The sequence below is a fragment of the Homo sapiens genome, chromosome 1 (genome assembly GCF_000001405.40).
Source record: "Homo sapiens chromosome 1, GRCh38.p14 Primary Assembly".
NCBI lineage: Eukaryota > Metazoa > Chordata > Mammalia > Primates > Hominidae > Homo > Homo sapiens.
The window spans coordinates 2,299,010-2,314,801 of NC_000001.11; the positions used below are offsets into that span (position 1 = coordinate 2,299,010).

The 15,792-nt window shown below is 62.8% G+C and overlaps 1 protein-coding gene across 5 annotated transcripts in view, besides 4 other annotated features; it reads left to right on the forward strand.

Annotated features, from left to right (window-relative positions):
• The window catches only part of SKI (SKI proto-oncogene), an 81,895-nt gene extending 70,691 nt beyond the window's left edge, over window positions 1-11,204 (forward strand). For 3 of the 5 annotated variants that reach the window (XM_005244775.4, XM_005244776.5, XM_017002128.2), the window contains exons 2-7: window positions 3,969-4,094; window positions 4,276-4,391; window positions 4,831-5,099; window positions 5,284-5,576; window positions 7,011-7,241; window positions 7,568-11,204. In XM_005244775.4, the coding sequence (XP_005244832.1) occupies window positions 3,969-4,094; window positions 4,276-4,391; window positions 4,831-5,099; window positions 5,284-5,576; window positions 7,011-7,241; window positions 7,568-7,756 (1,224 nt within the window). In that variant the 3' untranslated portion in view covers window positions 7,757-11,204. The remainder of the gene's footprint in view (window positions 1-3,968; window positions 4,095-4,275; window positions 4,392-4,830; window positions 5,100-5,283; window positions 5,577-7,010; window positions 7,242-7,567) is intronic. The other 2 variants (NM_003036.4, XM_047428466.1) reach the window with 1 other exon arrangement.
• Window positions 2,150-2,209: an enhancer, noted in NCBI's record as "active region_53". NCBI's record gives its function as "activates an Ori minimal core promoter by ATAC-STARR-seq in GM12878 lymphoblastoid cells {active_cell/tissue: GM12878}" and the evidence as "EXISTENCE:reporter gene assay evidence [ECO:0000049][PMID:35858748]".
• Window positions 7,645-8,278: an enhancer, noted in NCBI's record as "H3K4me1 hESC enhancer chr1:2238093-2238726 (GRCh37/hg19 assembly coordinates)". NCBI's record gives its function as "activates a minimal SCP1, AML or CMV promoter by ChIP-STARR-seq in naive H9 embryonic stem cells {active_cell/tissue: H9 hESC(naive)}" and the evidence as "EXISTENCE:reporter gene assay evidence [ECO:0000049][PMID:30033119]".
• Window positions 14,165-14,818: an enhancer, noted in NCBI's record as "H3K27ac-H3K4me1 hESC enhancer chr1:2244613-2245266 (GRCh37/hg19 assembly coordinates)". NCBI's record gives its function as "activates a minimal SCP1, AML or CMV promoter by ChIP-STARR-seq in primed H9 embryonic stem cells {active_cell/tissue: H9 hESC(primed)}" and the evidence as "EXISTENCE:reporter gene assay evidence [ECO:0000049][PMID:30033119]".
• Window positions 15,618-15,737: a silencer, noted in NCBI's record as "silent region_109". NCBI's record gives its function as "represses an Ori minimal core promoter by ATAC-STARR-seq in GM12878 lymphoblastoid cells {active_cell/tissue: GM12878}" and the evidence as "EXISTENCE:reporter gene assay evidence [ECO:0000049][PMID:35858748]".

Genomic DNA, 15,792 nt, shown 5'->3' on the forward strand with positions numbered 1-15,792 from the left:
TGGTCGTGGAGGTTCACAGCAGGCTCTATGTGGTTGTTTTGTGTGGATTTGGGGTGTGAATTCTCTCAGCAAAGGCTGACTCAGACCCCAGTGTTCAGAAGGTTCAAGGAAGCGACCGTCAGCGCCGAGTGGCCAGCAGGGCGGGGATGCGGCGTTGAGCCCCGTCATTCAGCTTCAGTGTGGAGAAGGCCCGGAGCTGTGGGCATCAGCTCGGGGACCCGAGTGACTGTCCCTGCCTCGGGGAGGGGGGGGGCCACACGGGCAGGCGGGGCAGCAGCTTGTGCCCATGTCCTCCTCACGGACTCTGGAAGTGAGAGGCGCTGAGGCCACAGTGGGGGAAGTGGCCCAGCTGACGACCCGGGCTCTCGGTGCCCTGGGAGGAGCTGTTGTTAGGACATGTGCAGACTGGGTTCAGCCTGTCTGGAGTGGCTCAGGTGCCTGGGGACAGAGGCCAGCTGTAACCGCTGCTGCACTCGGTTCTGGATTCAGTGCCCTCCGCCTCTGCGGCGTCTCCCTCGGCAGCTGTCCAGGACTCCAGCCTCCCTGCCAGGGTAGGGGACATGGAGCGTCTCCTTGCTCTGGGGGGTTGAGGTCTTCTGTGTTTGGACCCTGTGGGATCTGGCAGGAGAAGCAGCCCCCACTCATGTTGTGCCAGGGGCCTGGGGAAGGGAGATGGCAGTTCTGTGACCTCCAGACTCCCTTTCCTTATTGCAGGGGATGGGCCAGCGTTTCGCCCTGAGCATCTGCACGTGTCAGGCAGGAAAGGGTCCCCAAGGCCTTCTCAATGGCTCTTCTCTGTTCCTGGCACCTTACAGGCCTGAAACGCAGGGCCCCCAAGGGTGGGGTGTGCATTTTTGGAGAGCGTCTTTTCTGAGACTCCCCCATGGGGAGCTGGTGGCTTGCTTGTGGCAGTGTACTGTGGCTGCCCAGTCCTCGGCAGGCATCCACTGCTGGCTCACCTGTTTGGGCCACCGCCTCTGCATAGGTCCTGTGGGCTTTGCTCAGGAACTGTTCCGTCAGAGGGCCTAGGGTGTCCACAGTCTTGGGCCCGCTATTCCTCAGCCCAGCCCTGCCCTGCCCTGGCAGGGGGGCACCTGTCCTTGGGTGCAAGCTCACACGCGTTGCCCGGGTGCCTGCTGGCCAGGTAGCTTGCCTGGTCATCCTCGGGGTGTGGGGAAGGACCCCAGGAGGGGAAGTGGCCGCGGGGCAGCGCGGTGTGTCGTCTGGCCTCCGCTGTGTAAGCTGACAGTGGCCTGAAGGGCTTTGGGATGGGGCAGCCCCTTGCAGGCCTATCCAGGCCCAGCCCCATTGCTTTGGTGTGTCAGGTCCAGAGCCGTGCTCCTGCCTCGTGGCCTGTGGGCTCCAAGGGCGGGTTTTGAAGCCCCAGGAAGGGTCACACCAGAGGCAAGCGGTCGTAGCTGCTCTTCCCAGAGTAAGACTCAGCCGTCTGTCACTGGGTGTGGTTTTGTCCCTGACCGACAGCTGACACTGGGGCCCCCAGGGGCCTTGGTAGGGCGGGTGGCATCCCAGGCCTGAAGACGGCTGTCTGCTTCCTGGGGCTTTGAGAAACCAATACTGCTCAGGTGACAGTCCCTCTGAGAGTGTCACTTCCTCCGCCCACAGGGGCGCAGACACCTTCTATTTTACACGTTTCTCTCCGTTTCTCTGATGCTGCAGAGAGCCCGCCCTGAGAGCCGGGAGTCGCCTGATGAGGGGTCGGCAGGGGTCTTAACGGAGTCATGTCTCCGAAGGCTCGTCCTGGCTCCCTGAAGACCAGGAGCGTCCCTGGCCCCAAGGATGGCCCTGAGCCCATCTGCCTCAACCCTCCAGATCTGCAGGGTCCTCGGCCACCCCCCACTGAGCGGATTGGGCTCGGGGCCCCGGGCCTACGGTCCTCCCGCCACCTCCACGGGGCGGCTGTTGGGGCCCCACCAGGCAGAGCCGTGTTCTCAGGCGTTGGCTCTCATGGAGGTGGCCTGAGGCATCTGACTCTTTCCCCTCAAGGAGTCTCTGAGTCTCCCGGAGTCAGCGCCGGCTGTTGTGGCTTTTCCCCGGGTGATAACTGAGCCGAATTTCCGCGCCCGCTTCAGTGGCTGCTTAGACAGGAAGCTCCACCCAGCCGGGCGTCCTCGGCCTTCTGTGCCTCTCGGGAGGGTCCGCATGATTCCGGAAGGGGCTCTGCTGCAGCTAGGATGGCACCCGCCCCTGCCAGGCATAGGCACAGCACCCTGCGGTCAGGGCCTCCGCCAGACGTCATCAACACTCACTTCCCCTCGAAAGCCGCCACATAGAGGGGGTATTTTCAGTGTCTTTTTTCCTGAACAGCTATTTTAGTGTCTCTGAAAAAAACCATCCACAGCCGTGAGCCTTCAGGGGCTGCCTGCCCTGCGTCCCCGGCCCTGTGCGCCCGAGCACTTATCTTTCTCCCTTGGGCCCAGGTCAGAGCCAGGCACCTGCCCCTCCCCTGGCCCCACCCTGCTTGTTCCCTGAGGGCTGCAGGGTGGGTGCACGTGCTGCAGGGGAGGCCACGGGCTTTGGCCAGATCTTCCCCCAGGGCCCTCCATCCCCATAATTGGAGCACCTTGATGGACAGCCTGCCCTGCGCCCCATCTTCCCCCTAGGGAAGCAGGGTCCCTGCTGCCTCCAGGAGGCTGGTTCCTGATGCAGCGTCTTCTCCTAGAGTCCTGGAGGTGGGAAGAGCCCCCGGCCCTGAGTGTGCTCTGTCCACCAAGGCTTCCTGGCTGAGGGCAAGGGCGGAGCCCCCACCGCCCGACTTTGCTGCCTCCTCTTGAGGTTGGCCTCGGCAGAGTGAGTGGGACCTCACCCCTGTGAAGGGCCCCTTGCCCTGTGTGGCCTGTTCTGCATTGGCCTGTGGTGTAGACCTGGTGCCAGCTGCCCTGGAGACTCTGTGCTGTCCTGTGGGGTCTTTGGCAGTAGAGGAATGGCCCATTTTACGGAGACTGCCCTGTGATTTTGCTTGGGAAGAGACCTTGGGTCTCAGTTGTGCCTTGCGGGCAGCACCGTCTCAGGGGTTTCCAGCCGCAGGGCTGTGGGAGTTCACGTTTGCCTGAGGCTGGATGTACCGGCTCAGGCCCCCAGCACACAACCCACATCACTCACTGGCTCTTGGGGGATGTGCCTCAGCACCTGACACACAACACCTGGTTCTGAGTGGGCTGGGTCCAGGCACCTTCGCTAAGCTTCCTCCACCAGCGGGACCTGGTTCTGGGTGGGCTGGGTCTGGGCACCTTCGCTAAGCTTCCTCCAGCACCGGGGCTGGCAAGGAGCGAGGCAAAGGTGTGTGTGGTGCCATCCTGTAGGAGCCAGGCTCCTTGGGGATGGTGTCCTTCATTTTGAAAATGTTTCCTTCCCATGGGGAGGGGGCAGCCAGAATGCCCACTCTTTAATGCACCTGTGCCAGTGGCCCACAGGGACACGGTGTCCCCTCCCCGCGACCACCCCTGTGCCGCAGCTGCCCTTCCCAGACGCATCCGTCGTGAGTGGCTCTCGCCGTGCTGTGGCTGGTTGAGCTGAGTGCCCAGCGCTGGGCACCCTCTGAGGACACACTCGGGTTCTAGGAAAGGGGTTTGGCAGGAGAAGGACGAGGGACTCCTGGCCAGGCTGAGCCGCTGTGGAAGGGGAGAGTGGGTCTTGGTGCTCCATCCCAAACCTGCTGCAGCCGTGGGTGAGGTCACCCGGAATGGCAGGACAAGGTCCACTCTGTTCTCTCGGAGATGACTTGTCCCTCAGCACAGCCTCCACGTGCCTGTTGCGCGTGGCCTAAGGGCCTTTATGCAAAGTGAACTTGGTCTCCTGGGGGGTGCCCTGGAATCTGCCTTCTGCGCCACTCAGGGTCGTTTGTGGCCGGAGTGCATGGGGCTCTGACTGCCATGTGCCAGCCACGGGGCTGGTGGAGGGACCCTGCCCTGGGAACCACAGGTGCCAACAAAACCTTTCATTGATCGCAGGTCTCCTCTGAGCCTCCGGCCTCCATAAGACCCAAAACAGATGACACCTCTTCCCAGTCCCCCGCGCCTTCCGAAAAGGACAAGCCGTCCAGCTGGCTGCGGACCTTGGCCGGCTCTTCCAATAAGGTGCTGTGGGGCCTGTCGGGGTCCTTGGGGTGGTGGGTACTGGGCCCTTCTCCTTGGGCAGACCCAGCGGCTGGCAGCTCCACCTGCCCGCTACTGAGGGCTGGCACCCGGCGCAGCCTCAGGGACATGAAGTGGCTTGTTTTTCTCCTGGTCACTCACACAGACAACTCTTTCTCGACAGAGCCTGGGCTGTGTTCACCCTCGCCAGCGCCTCTCTGCTTTCCGACCCTGGTCCCCCGCAGTGTCAGCGAGTGAGAAAGAGCTCTCCCCACACCTCCCGGCCCTCATCCGAGACAGGTGAGTGGGCGCCATTCACAGGTGTTTCTGATCACGGGGGAGGCTCCACGAGGGCTGTGCATGCGGACGCGCCCATGTTTCTGCAGGCTGGGTGCCCAGACCTGCCGCCTTTTGGTCAGGGCAGTCTCGGTGTTGGTTCCTTTGGCTGGCATCAGGGAGAGCACACCTAGAGCGTTCCCTGTGTTCTGGGTGGAGTCGTGGGTGGAGCCCTGTCTGCTGGGCGCAGCTTCTTGATGTGTTGGCCTGTGTCTGGCCTTCGCAAGAGACCCAGCAAGCAGAAAACGCTTACGGGTTCTTAGGGAACTGTAAGCTTGACTTGAAGATTCGGAGCTGGGAAAGTCTTTCCTGTTTAACACCTTCAGAGGGGGTGTGCGCCAGGATGTGTCTGGGTGGTGCTTGGGGACAGAGGCACCTTCCCGACACCCGCCTGCCCCTCCAGCTTCTACTCCTACAAGAGCTTTGAGACAGCCGTGGCGCCCAACGTGGCCCTCGCACCGCCGGCCCAGCAGAAGGTTGTGAGCAGCCCTCCGTGTGCCGCCGCCGTCTCCCGGGCCCCCGAGCCTCTCGCCACTTGCACCCAGCCTCGGAAGCGGAAGCTGACTGTGGACACCCCAGGAGCCCCAGAGACGCTGGCGCCCGTGGCTGCCCCAGAGGAGGACAAGGACTCGGAGGCGGAGGTGGAAGTTGAAAGCAGGGAGGAATGTACGTGTGAGTCGCTTTCTGTGCCTCCTCCCTGTGGGCTGTGGGGGTGGCACTGGCTGAGGGGGGCTGGTCGCCGGGGGTGCGTTGGTGGCCCCATGTTTCGCAGGTTCCTCCGGGAGCGGCGCGTCTCCCTGGTGTGGAGCTGCCGGGCACTTCCATGACTTTGTTTCTGTCTCTGCTTCCTCCTCAGTCACCTCCTCCTTGTCCTCGCTCTCTTCCCCGTCCTTTACCTCATCCAGCTCCGCCAAGGACCTGGGCTCCCCGGGTGCGCGTGCCCTGCCCTCGGCCGTCCCTGATGCTGCGGCCCCTGCCGACGCCCCCAGTGGGCTGGAGGCGGAGCTGGAGCACCTGCGGCAGGCACTGGAGGGCGGCCTGGACACCAAGGAAGCCAAAGAGAAGTTCCTGCATGAGGTGGTCAAGATGCGCGTGAAGCAGGAGGAGAAGCTCAGCGCAGCCCTGCAGGCCAAGCGCAGCCTCCACCAGGTGAGCGGGGCGAGTGGTGCTGGGAGGTCCAGGGCACGGGCAGTGAGCACAGCCTGCACCAGGTGAACGGGCACAGGTGGTGCCTCCTCCCTTCCTGGCTGCCCCATGCGCTCCTCTCTGCCTCCACCTCAGTGGGCCTGCCTGGGACCTTGGGGGTCCGTCTCCCAAAAGCTGCAGCCCTGGGTATGGTGAGCCCCTCAGTGTCCCCAGGCTGATGGACATCCCAGGAGGCCACTACATTTGGCTTGACCACAGCTTTCCCCATCAGGATCACACACCCTGCGTGGTGGCCCCACTGAGGAAGTAGCCATGTTTCTCTGGTATAAGGGAGGCCGGGCTATTTTTAGTGGCAGAAAGAGTTGGGAGCAGCTGCATGGAGACAGTTCCTTGCTCTGTGTGCTCCAGGAGTGGGTGTTCACGCGCTCCGCCAGCAAGACCTGGCGTCTGCAAAACACAGGCGTGAGGGGCGTGCTTACTAATGCCTGGTGTTCCAGAAGGCGGCTCCCGCCAGGCCTCCCGAGTAGGAAGGAGAGGGCTCGGCCCGCACAGACACACACACACCCACCTGCACACGCTGCTTCTCTGGGCTCTGCCTCACGGTTCTCACGCTGCAGCTCCGGTCTCGCGCCTCCTTTTACGTTGTTTAGGTTTCTTTCTGACATGACTGAGGGAAGTGCGGTTCACAGGCAGAGCTGCCTGGGGAGAGAGGTGTGCAGGCGGCCCGTTGTTCACCGGGCCCCGGCCTCGCTAAATTCACACCTCGGCGGCGTCTGGCAGCTTCCGCGGCGTGGGCTTTAGCACAACACAACCCCGTCGGCCCTCAGAGCTGCAGGGTTGCCGACGTGCCCTCCTGCGCGTGCCAGTCCCTCGCCCCAGCACGTCCCCCGCCACTGTTGTCCTTGATTCTGGTTGGAGGTGTGATTTCCCACATACATATTCATGTGGTGTGTTTGCAGCGTGGGGTGTGAGTCACACGGATATTTTAATGGGGAGAGTGGGGGGGCTTGCGGAGGCGCCGGGCGGATGGACGTGTCCATCTGGCTGCGTGGGGAGACCCGGGGCCCTCAGATGGTGCGATGTCTGAGGCTGCCCTCCTCACATTGATGGGAGCCAGGGCCTACTTGGCTTGCTGCCCCCAAGGGGAACGTGGCCCTAGATACCGGGGGAGGCCCCGCCGCAGCCTCAAGTGACTGACTCAGGCCCCCAGGTTTAGCACAGCTGCCACAGGCCTGGCGGAAACTCCGGATGGGGGTCTGAAAAGCCTTTGTGGGGTCGGGGCACCACACGGGTTGGGCTGATGGCGCGCTGGGGGCGGGGCTCCAGGGCACATTGTCAGATAGATGACCCCACGGGGTGGGCTGAGGACTGCTGGTCATGGTGAGGGGTGTGCTGGGACCGGCTGGGCAGTGACCCCGAGCCGCCTCCGGCCCCCAGGAGCTGGAGTTCCTACGCGTGGCCAAGAAGGAGAAGCTGCGGGAGGCCACGGAGGCCAAGCGTAACCTGCGGAAGGAGATCGAGCGTCTCCGCGCCGAGAACGAGAAGAAGATGAAAGAGGCCAACGAGTCACGGCTGCGCCTGAAGCGGGAGCTGGAGCAGGCGCGGCAGGCCCGGGTGTGCGACAAGGGCTGCGAGGCGGGCCGCCTGCGCGCCAAGTACTCGGCCCAGGTATGCGGGTGGGGAGACTGAGGCACGCAGCACGGTGGGCGTGGAGCCGCCGTGGGCCCCGGTGGCCAGTCCTGCCCAGCCGGAAAGGCCTTGGAGCAGAAGCCAGGCCCGGGACCACGTTCCGTGCGTGCCCCCCCGACGGGCACAGGGTGGGTGGTTGCTGGGCCCTGCGTCTCGTGAGCCTGTGTCCTAGCAGGTGGAGGAGGGGCCGGCACGCGGCACTGGGGAGGGACAGGGAGCGGCGCAGGAGCCTCGGGTGGGGGAAGCAGCGTCGGGCCGGGGCAGGGCAGCGAGCAGGCGCCGCTGACCACTCGGCTCCCTTTCAGATCGAAGACCTGCAGGTGAAGCTGCAGCACGCGGAGGCGGACCGGGAGCAGCTGCGGGCCGACCTGCTGCGGGAGCGCGAGGCCCGGGAGCACCTGGAGAAGGTGGTGAAGGAGCTGCAGGAACAGCTGTGGCCGCGGGCCCGCCCCGAGGCTGCGGGCAGCGAGGGCGCTGCGGAGCTGGAGCCGTAGATTCCGTGCCTGCCGCCGCAGCGCCGCCGACAACGCGGGTGCAGGGGGGCGCGGCTGGGCGGTGCAGCTCCGCCCGGCTCCGCCCCTGCAGCCCACACAGCACAACGTCTTACCGTGCCTATTACCAAGCGAGTGTTTGTAACCATGTAGTTTTGGAACCCACTGCAAAATTTTCTACTGGCCAAGTTCAAGTGAGTAAGCCGCGTCCCCCAACTACAGCTGGAGACGGGGCCAGCTCGGCGGCCTGCTGGTCCTCTGCTTGCTGGAACATTCTAACATTTACACTTTTGTTATAAGCTATTTAAAACCAGTAAGGAGACTTGAAATTCAGAAAATCAACACATTTTTAAATGACTAACTTCTAAAAGCCCCAACACATGACGCCATCTGAAGACCCGCAACGGAGTGGGGGTGGCGGCCGCCCCACCCTCCCCACCCGGGGAAGCCATCACAGCTCATCTGCCCGCGGCTGCGTGAGGACAGCAGGGGTTTTTCTTCAGAGTCTATTTTTTCAGCGACAAGGACCCAGGTCTTCCTGCTGCTGCCAGGGAGAGCAGGGACAGTGCCGCGTGCGAGATGAGCTCGAACACTGCCCGCCTTACTGCCGCCTACCCCGCCCGCCACGCCGCCGTCGATGCCAGCGCTGTCCCCACGGGTACCAGGAAGTGCAGAGCCGCACAGGAGCTGCCCCGGAGCTGAGGGGACGGTCTTCGGCTCCTCTGCACCCCGTGATTCTGCCCACGCTCCTCCACCACGAGGCACTGACCTGCGTCGGGTGGTGACCGTGGCTGGCGGTCACGCCCTCAGCCCCTCCGGGCACACGTGCCGCCTGACCGGGCGACCCTTTTCAGTTCGGCAAACGTCGCTCCCTTCATTTTGGGACTGAGGCTGCAGCATTGGAACAAAAGAGCATTATTTCAATTTTTCTTTCTTTTTTTTTGTTCGTTCATTTAAACGTATATTTAGAACTGCACTTTGTCCACAACCTTCCCTTCTCTTTCTATTCCCCAGTGAACTGAGGTTTTTACCGATTTATAGAGCAGTCAAATCCGAAGTGCTCGAGTGCTTAGAAACCCCCTCTGGTGCTTGGTTGAACAAGGGAATCACAAGAAAACGAAAATGCAAAAACTGAACTTCGGGGGTCGTTCTGTGCCTTCCAGCATCTTGTACAGCAAATCCTGACTCGTGTCTTTTTACCCCCAAGATATCTGTCTTCAGTAGCGACTGAATCTGCCACTCTCAGAATAAGTTCCTTGCATTTATTCCAAATAATCTCGTTTACTCTCACCTGTTTATGCAAATTGTATAAGGTTTCTTATGCCCAAGCTTGAAAAATGATTTCCCAGTAGACAAGAGGCGGCTACCTATCCTACAGTTACGGTATTTATTTACATAAGAAGATCTTACAGGAGTTCTTTGCTTGAATCCGTTCTAACACCCGCGGCAGCTGCACGCGCTCACAGAAGGTGGAGGTTACTTGCCCAGGTACAGACGACCTCGGGGCAGTGACGAGCAAAGACCAGAGACTGCTGAGCCCTCGCATCTGGGTGGCGGAATTGCCTGCGGGGTTTTGCCCTTGGTTTACTGAGGGGGGTCTTGGTTGCTGCTGAAGCCCCCCACCCCTTCTAAAGTGCAATGCAAAAGGGACATCATGTATATGCAGCGTTTGTTTGGAATTTTCTTTGCTTTTGTTTTCTTTGCGGTTGTTCTGTGTGCATGGATTCCACACCTCTGCCGTAGGTAGATCCGTCAGCGGGCATTATTACCGTGTCTTGTAAAGGGTCGGTTTTGTTATGCAACATGCAGAATGCTGTTTTTAGCCTTGTTTTACCAGAGTTGTTTTTTTTTTCAGTTATTTCTTCAAGGGAAACTAAATGATTTAGTTGGAGCAAAGCTTTAAGTGTGTTGGCGTGCTTCTGTGTGGCTGTCCTGTGTCGCCAGGTCGAAGATCACAGTGAGGTAGAGGCCCTGCCCCATCCCCAGGGCCGCCAGGCTTGCTCCGTTTGCTTTGAGTTTTTAGACCCCAGAGGGAGATGAGCTTTTCCAAGCTGTGTCTGGGCCAGAGCCTCTCCTTGCCCTTGCTCCATCCCGACGGTCACCGTTGGGTCCACGCCTCCACCGCCCCATCTTGCCCCAAACGGAAAGCGCTGTATCTGCAGTGGCAGCCCTTCCCCACTTCGGCTCTGGGAGGGTCCAGCCAGTGTCACCTGGGCCCACCCTTTCCTGCAGCTGCCAGGCCCGTGCGGTCAGTGGGACCCGGACGTGGGCAGGCGAGCTCGGGACCCTCCCAGGCAGTTCCCACAGCTCTTGCCTCGGCTCACCAGGGTCACTTCCACTGTCAGGGGCCTGAGGGGGCAGCTGTGGCTGCAGGGCTGCTCTGGACTGAGGGGTCCCAGGCCCCGAGGGGTGCACGCCTGGCTCCCCTTGGCACAGGTGCGAGTCCGTTTCTTTTCAGCAGAAGGGGGAAGAGGTGTCCGCTGTGTGGGCTGCTGACTCCTCTGTGTGTGAGGCCCTTCATCTAAGTGATTGTGTATTCAGTTTAATTCTCATTATATTTCTATACTGAAAGAAGATTTTTAACGAAGGGAAAAACAACAGCAATAACATTCATATCTCTGGAGCAGCTAACTCATACACGTAATGTCTGCTTTTCGTACAGAACTAGCCAATGTAAAAACAGTTCACCTGTAAATACTTTTTCCTTTTTCACCGTTGTATTATACATGTATATGCTGGGTCCTTTTTCAGAAACTCTTTTCTTACCTGAGAGTTGTCTTGTTTTCTGGGCTGTTTTTAACTGAGGAAAAAAAAAATGCTTTCCTGCCGGGGGGCAGGGGAGACGGAGAAACCCATGTGCGTTTCCCATGTGACCCCCTCCTCCCTGTGGGTCTGAGCCCCGGCCCCCCCCACCTCCTCCTCCCTGTGGGTCCGAACCCCGGCCCCCCCACCCCCTCCTCCCTGTGGGTCCGAACCCCGGCCCCCCCACCCCCTCCTCCCTGTGGGTCCGATCCCCGGCCCCCCCCACCCCCTCCTCCCTGTGGGTCCGAACCCCGGCCCCCCCCCCACCCCCTCCTCCCTGTGGGTCCGAACCCCGGCCCCCCCACCCCTCCCTCAGCCCACCAGGGTCCAGGGAGATGTTCGTTCTCGCTTTAAGTCAGGAGTCACAAATGACTTTTTTTTTTCAATTAAGGAAAAAGCTCCATCTCTACCTTTAACATCACCCAGACCCCCGCCCCTGCCCGTGCCCCACGCTGCTGCTAACGACAGTATGATGCTTACTCTGCTACTCGGAAACTATTTTTATGTAATTAATGTATGCTTTCTTGTTTATAAATGCCTGATTTAAAAAGAAAAGAGCTTGGCATATTTATCTATTTCGCTGTGTACCTGTTAGTCCTTCCCCGACCCCGAAACAGATGACATTGTACAATAAAGGACTTTGAGAGGACCGCGGGACAGCTGTGCGTGCGCCCACCACAGCCCCTCCCCAGACCGGCCACACACGGGCGGCTGGGACCCCCTCGCTTTCAGGCCATCGTGGGTGGGGGTGCTGTCACAGGTCAGATTGTGGGCCTCGGAGTCTCCGTCGACCCCGAGGGCACGTGGGGTCCAGGCGGCCGCCCTGGCACAACTGCCCTCTCACCTAGTCCCCGTCCCCTCTGAGCTGGGCAAGGCCACGGTTTCCTCTGCGATTCAGGGAGCTTGCAGTCCCTGCTTGTAGCACTGGATGTGGCTGGAGCCCTGGCTTGAGGCCACCGTGGCCTTGGGCCGGCTGGGAGGAAGCCCCACAGAGTGCAGTGCCAGGACAGAAGATGGGATGGGGCCTTCCCGGCTGGGCCTCCACGGGGGCCTCTGAGGCCGCACCTGCGGTTGGCCAAGGTCCAGCTCCCGCACGGACAGACCTGTCCCCAAGGGGTGGATCGCCAGCTCCCTGAGGAGCTCCTGGGTTACTTGCGGGGGAGAGGGGAGGTGGCATCAGAACCCTGGACCCCAGCGAGCTGCCCCGAGGGAGACACAGAGGTCCCTTCTCCCCACCTGACCTCACAGGGGGGCCTTCCCAGACCCCTGTTCTGGGGATTGGAGGTGCCATGCCGCATGCCAATTTCATGGAGGCACAGCCCCGGGTGGGCTCCCTGGGGTGCCAGGCCACCACCTCTCTAGGCTTCCTTAGGCCATCACATCCAGCATCTCCAGCCCATCCAGGCCCTCATAGGTCATCTGGGTTGTGGTCCGAGAAAGGCATGGGCTGGTAGGGGCTCCAGCCGGCCCCTCCCCCCAGCCTCCCGGCACAATTTCCAGGTCCCCATCTCTTCTCTCCACCCCTCGGGAAGTGCCCCCAAGCTTGGGGCTAGAGCAGACCTGGCCCTCCCCTCACTGCCACATAGGGGCTTCCTTCTTCCCTGCCCAGGGCCCCAAAGGGCTCATAGAGCCCCCACGGAGGGTACAGGGCGGCCTCTAGACCACACAGGCCTACCCCAGCAGGCCTCAAAACACCCACTCCACATGGGCCTGGCTTCTCCATCCAGGCTAGGCCCCTGGGTGTTGGGGGCAGTGGGCAGGGGCGTGGGCCGAGGGGAACATGGGCCACAGCAGGAGTGGGTGTGGACTGGTCCTGGGCACGTGCATGTTCTGGGGGGCAGAGGATGGGCGGCTCCAGAGTGCCGCTGGCAGGACCCTGAGACTGAGTCAGTTGTGAGCACAGAGGACCAGCCCGGGGTCCAGTGCAGTGGGGAGGAGTTGGGGAAGGGCTGGGCCGAGGTCCTGGGTGGGCCTCGAGGACCGTCCCTGTGGCCACATGGGCACTCTGCCTCGGAGCTGAGCACCGCAGGGCTTGATGACGGCCCTCCCGACCCTCCCGGAGACTCAAAGGCACTGCCTCCAGCAGCCACGTGGGGGCAGGGAGGGGCGGTGCTCTGGGCTCAGTTGTTCCCCAAGCTGCCCCAGGCTTCTCTTTGGTGTTTACCTTTGGGTATAAACTTAGAGCTTTAAAGGGCTCTGGCCACCTGCTGAGCTAGGCCAGCCGTCACCCAGGGTCAGAACCCTCTTCCCAAAGCTGTTCCGAAGGGATCCAGGGGTCTCCTGAGTGCTGGGGGAGAGGAGGCCTGGGTGGGAGAAGCTCCCTGCCTCCATGCCAGGGGAGGGCAGAGGTGGGGGGAGAGAGATGGCCCTCCCCACCCTACCTCTGCATCCTCAGGCTCAGGACTCCCAGCATTCACACCTGCCTGGGCCTCTGCAGGGACCACGGGTTAGCCCTCCAGCCTCAGCTCCCTGGAAGGGCAGCTCCCAGTACCCCTGTTCCTGGCAGTGCCTGTTCCCAAGCCCCCAAGAGCTGGGGTCTGGGGAAGATGAGCTCAGGGAAGGGGATGGGGGCTCCCCCACCTCCCTAGTTTCTGCCCCACCCTGTGCCCCACCCATTTCTGCCTCAGTCACCAACAGCTGTCCTTAGGTCTCAGCTGTGCTGGTCTCCCCCTCCTCCTGGAGCCACAGTCCTGCCAGCCTTCACCCACCAGCCTGTGGTCAAGGGGGCCGACAACGGCTGAGCAGCCTGACCTTGTCTGGGGAGGCAGCGGCCAGCACGTCCTAGGTGGGGAGTGGAGACTGCTGACCAGTTACTGCAGCCACTGGTTCAGCCCCGCGTGTCCGGCCCCAGCCCTAAGCCTAAGCAGGGACCCGGCTCCTCCCTCACTTCACCCCCAACCCGCCCTCCTGCCCCAGCGCAGTGCTCCAAGGGCATGGCCAGGGGCCCCCAAGCTGGACACCCCCTCATGGCTGCATGAGGGGCTCTACCCATTGCCCCAGCCCACAGGCCCAGACCCCGACCCCATCCTGGCCCAGGCCTGGCCACCCCCACGTCCCAGCACCTGCTTTGACTCCCCCACTTCCTTCTGGCCAGGAAGAGGCAGCCCCCACCCACTCTGTTCTCGTAGCCTCTGCACAGCTGCTGGTCCTGCTCCAGGCGACCCGGCCTCTGACCCCACGGAGCCTCCGCTGGAAGGAGGTGCGGAGCCCACAGGGACACCCCCAGGCCAGGGCCGCCTGCCCTCCAGAAATGATGGGGTCGTGACCCTGATGTGTTGGCCCCGGGGGGGTCCCGACCCTCCCCACAGAAACTGCCCTGTCTACTCCACCCACAGCGGACCCTGGGGAGGGGGTGAGGACAGAACATTTGGGGACTGGATGCCCGCCCAGCCCTGCCACCCCCCGGTCTCAGTGACGCACATGGCCATCTGTGCCTGGCCTGTGCCAGGTGGGTGGGGGCCTCAATGGCTGGGGCACCCAGCCCTGGAGCAGGTGGCCCCGCTGCGGGTGAGGACCGGCAGGGGCAGCCTGGCCAGCCTGGCTTGTCTTTGCAGTGTCCTGTGCTGGGCCAGGTGTCCAGCCGGGCTGGGAACGGACCTTTCTCTCCCATGGCCGGGCCTGGCAGCTCTTACTGGCAAGAAGTGCAGCCCAGGCTCGGCCTCCATGGCTCCTCCTGCAAAGGAGGCCTGTTCCAGAAACTTCCAGGGACAGGGAACCGTGGGGAGGTGGGGAGGTAGGGGCTGGAGGCAGGGGCTCCCTGGGTCAGCCCAGGCAGCAGTGTCTCCCAGTCTCCTGCCCCTCCCCGCAGCTGTCCCAAGGACACTCTTAGGTATAGGGGTGCCAAGTGCCCAGGCCCCGTGGAGATACAACTGGCTGGCTTGGAAGGGTGGGCTCCTGGCTGCCCAGCTCAGCCCAGAAACCAGGATTGGGTGCCATCCAGATCTAGAACGAGAGACCAGGGGTGTGGAGGGTCGAGGGCCGTCTAGAGGCCTTGGTGGGGGCCGGGCAGGCCACCAGCCCCGAACCCTGGAGGGTCCCGTGTACCCTGGCCAGTGCCAGCTGCTGCCCCCCTGGCCTGGCCCTGCCAGATTCTCCCTGACAGCCCTGTCCCCCTCTCTGCTGTCGGAACCTTCTGGCCCTTCCTGCAAGGTGGGCCTGGCCAGGCTGGGGTCTTGGTGGAGGGCAAGCAGGAACCAGGGACAGACGATGGAGCTCTGCGTGTCCTCCCTCATGGAGATGCCCCCAGCTGGGTGAAATGACCCTGGTCGGTGCTATGCCCAGGTTAGGCCAGGCTACCAGTTGCAGATGGACACCGCCCTGCGCCCTGCTGTGCCCACCCTGGGGCAGGAGCTGGGCAAGGTACTGTGTGCCCTGTGGTCCAGCCCCACTCTGCCCTGCCCCTGGTGGGGCCTGCACCCGAGGGACGTGATGCCCATGCCCCAGCTTCCTGTTTCTAAGGAAAAACAGTCCTAGGAAAAAGGCTGTAGCGTCGGAGGAGCTGCCCTCGCCAGGGCCTGGGGGGATTGTGGGTGGGGAGGCTGTCCCATTCTGTGATCCCAGGGATGCCAGGAGGGCCGTGGCTGGTGTGGCCGGCACTGGGTCAGGTTTAGGCCGGGGTCTCTCGGGTCTCGGTGTTGGCCCCTCCGTGTTTAGAATCCTCCCAGGCCAAACCAAGGCGGCCTCCAGGGTCACTCCTGCACAGGACAGTGGCCGGAACTCCGAAATGACCACCGACCTGCGCTGGCCGCTGAGGGTCCGACAGACCAAGGCTCTGGGCCCCCTACCCCATCCTGCGCCCCGTGCGCGAAGTCTGCGGGGTCACTGCTGCGCAGGACAGAAAACCCGCAGTGGGGCCCCGGCCTGTCCCCGGCCCTGGCGCTGTCCTGGCATCCGGGGAAATCCTGTTTCTGGCTCCAGGCCAGGGCCTGCCCCTCACCCTGGAGAGGCCCCGTCGGAGGCCGGCCTCGCGGGGGAAGGGCGGTGGCGGAGGAACTACCCAGGAATTCCAGCGCCGGCTCCGAAACCTTCCCAATCCCGCTCCTTCGCCCGGGCCGGAAGCCGCGCTGGGGGGGTGGGGAGGGGTGCACGTCCCGGGCCCCGCGCCGCGTCCTCAGGGCCGGGGCGGCCTCCCCGACGCCCGTTCCGTTCCCAGTCCGGGGGCACTGGGGGCCCCGAGTCAGGCGGAGCGCGCCGGGCCCCACTTCCCCACGCGGAGGGGCAGCCCCGCAGCCTCAGGC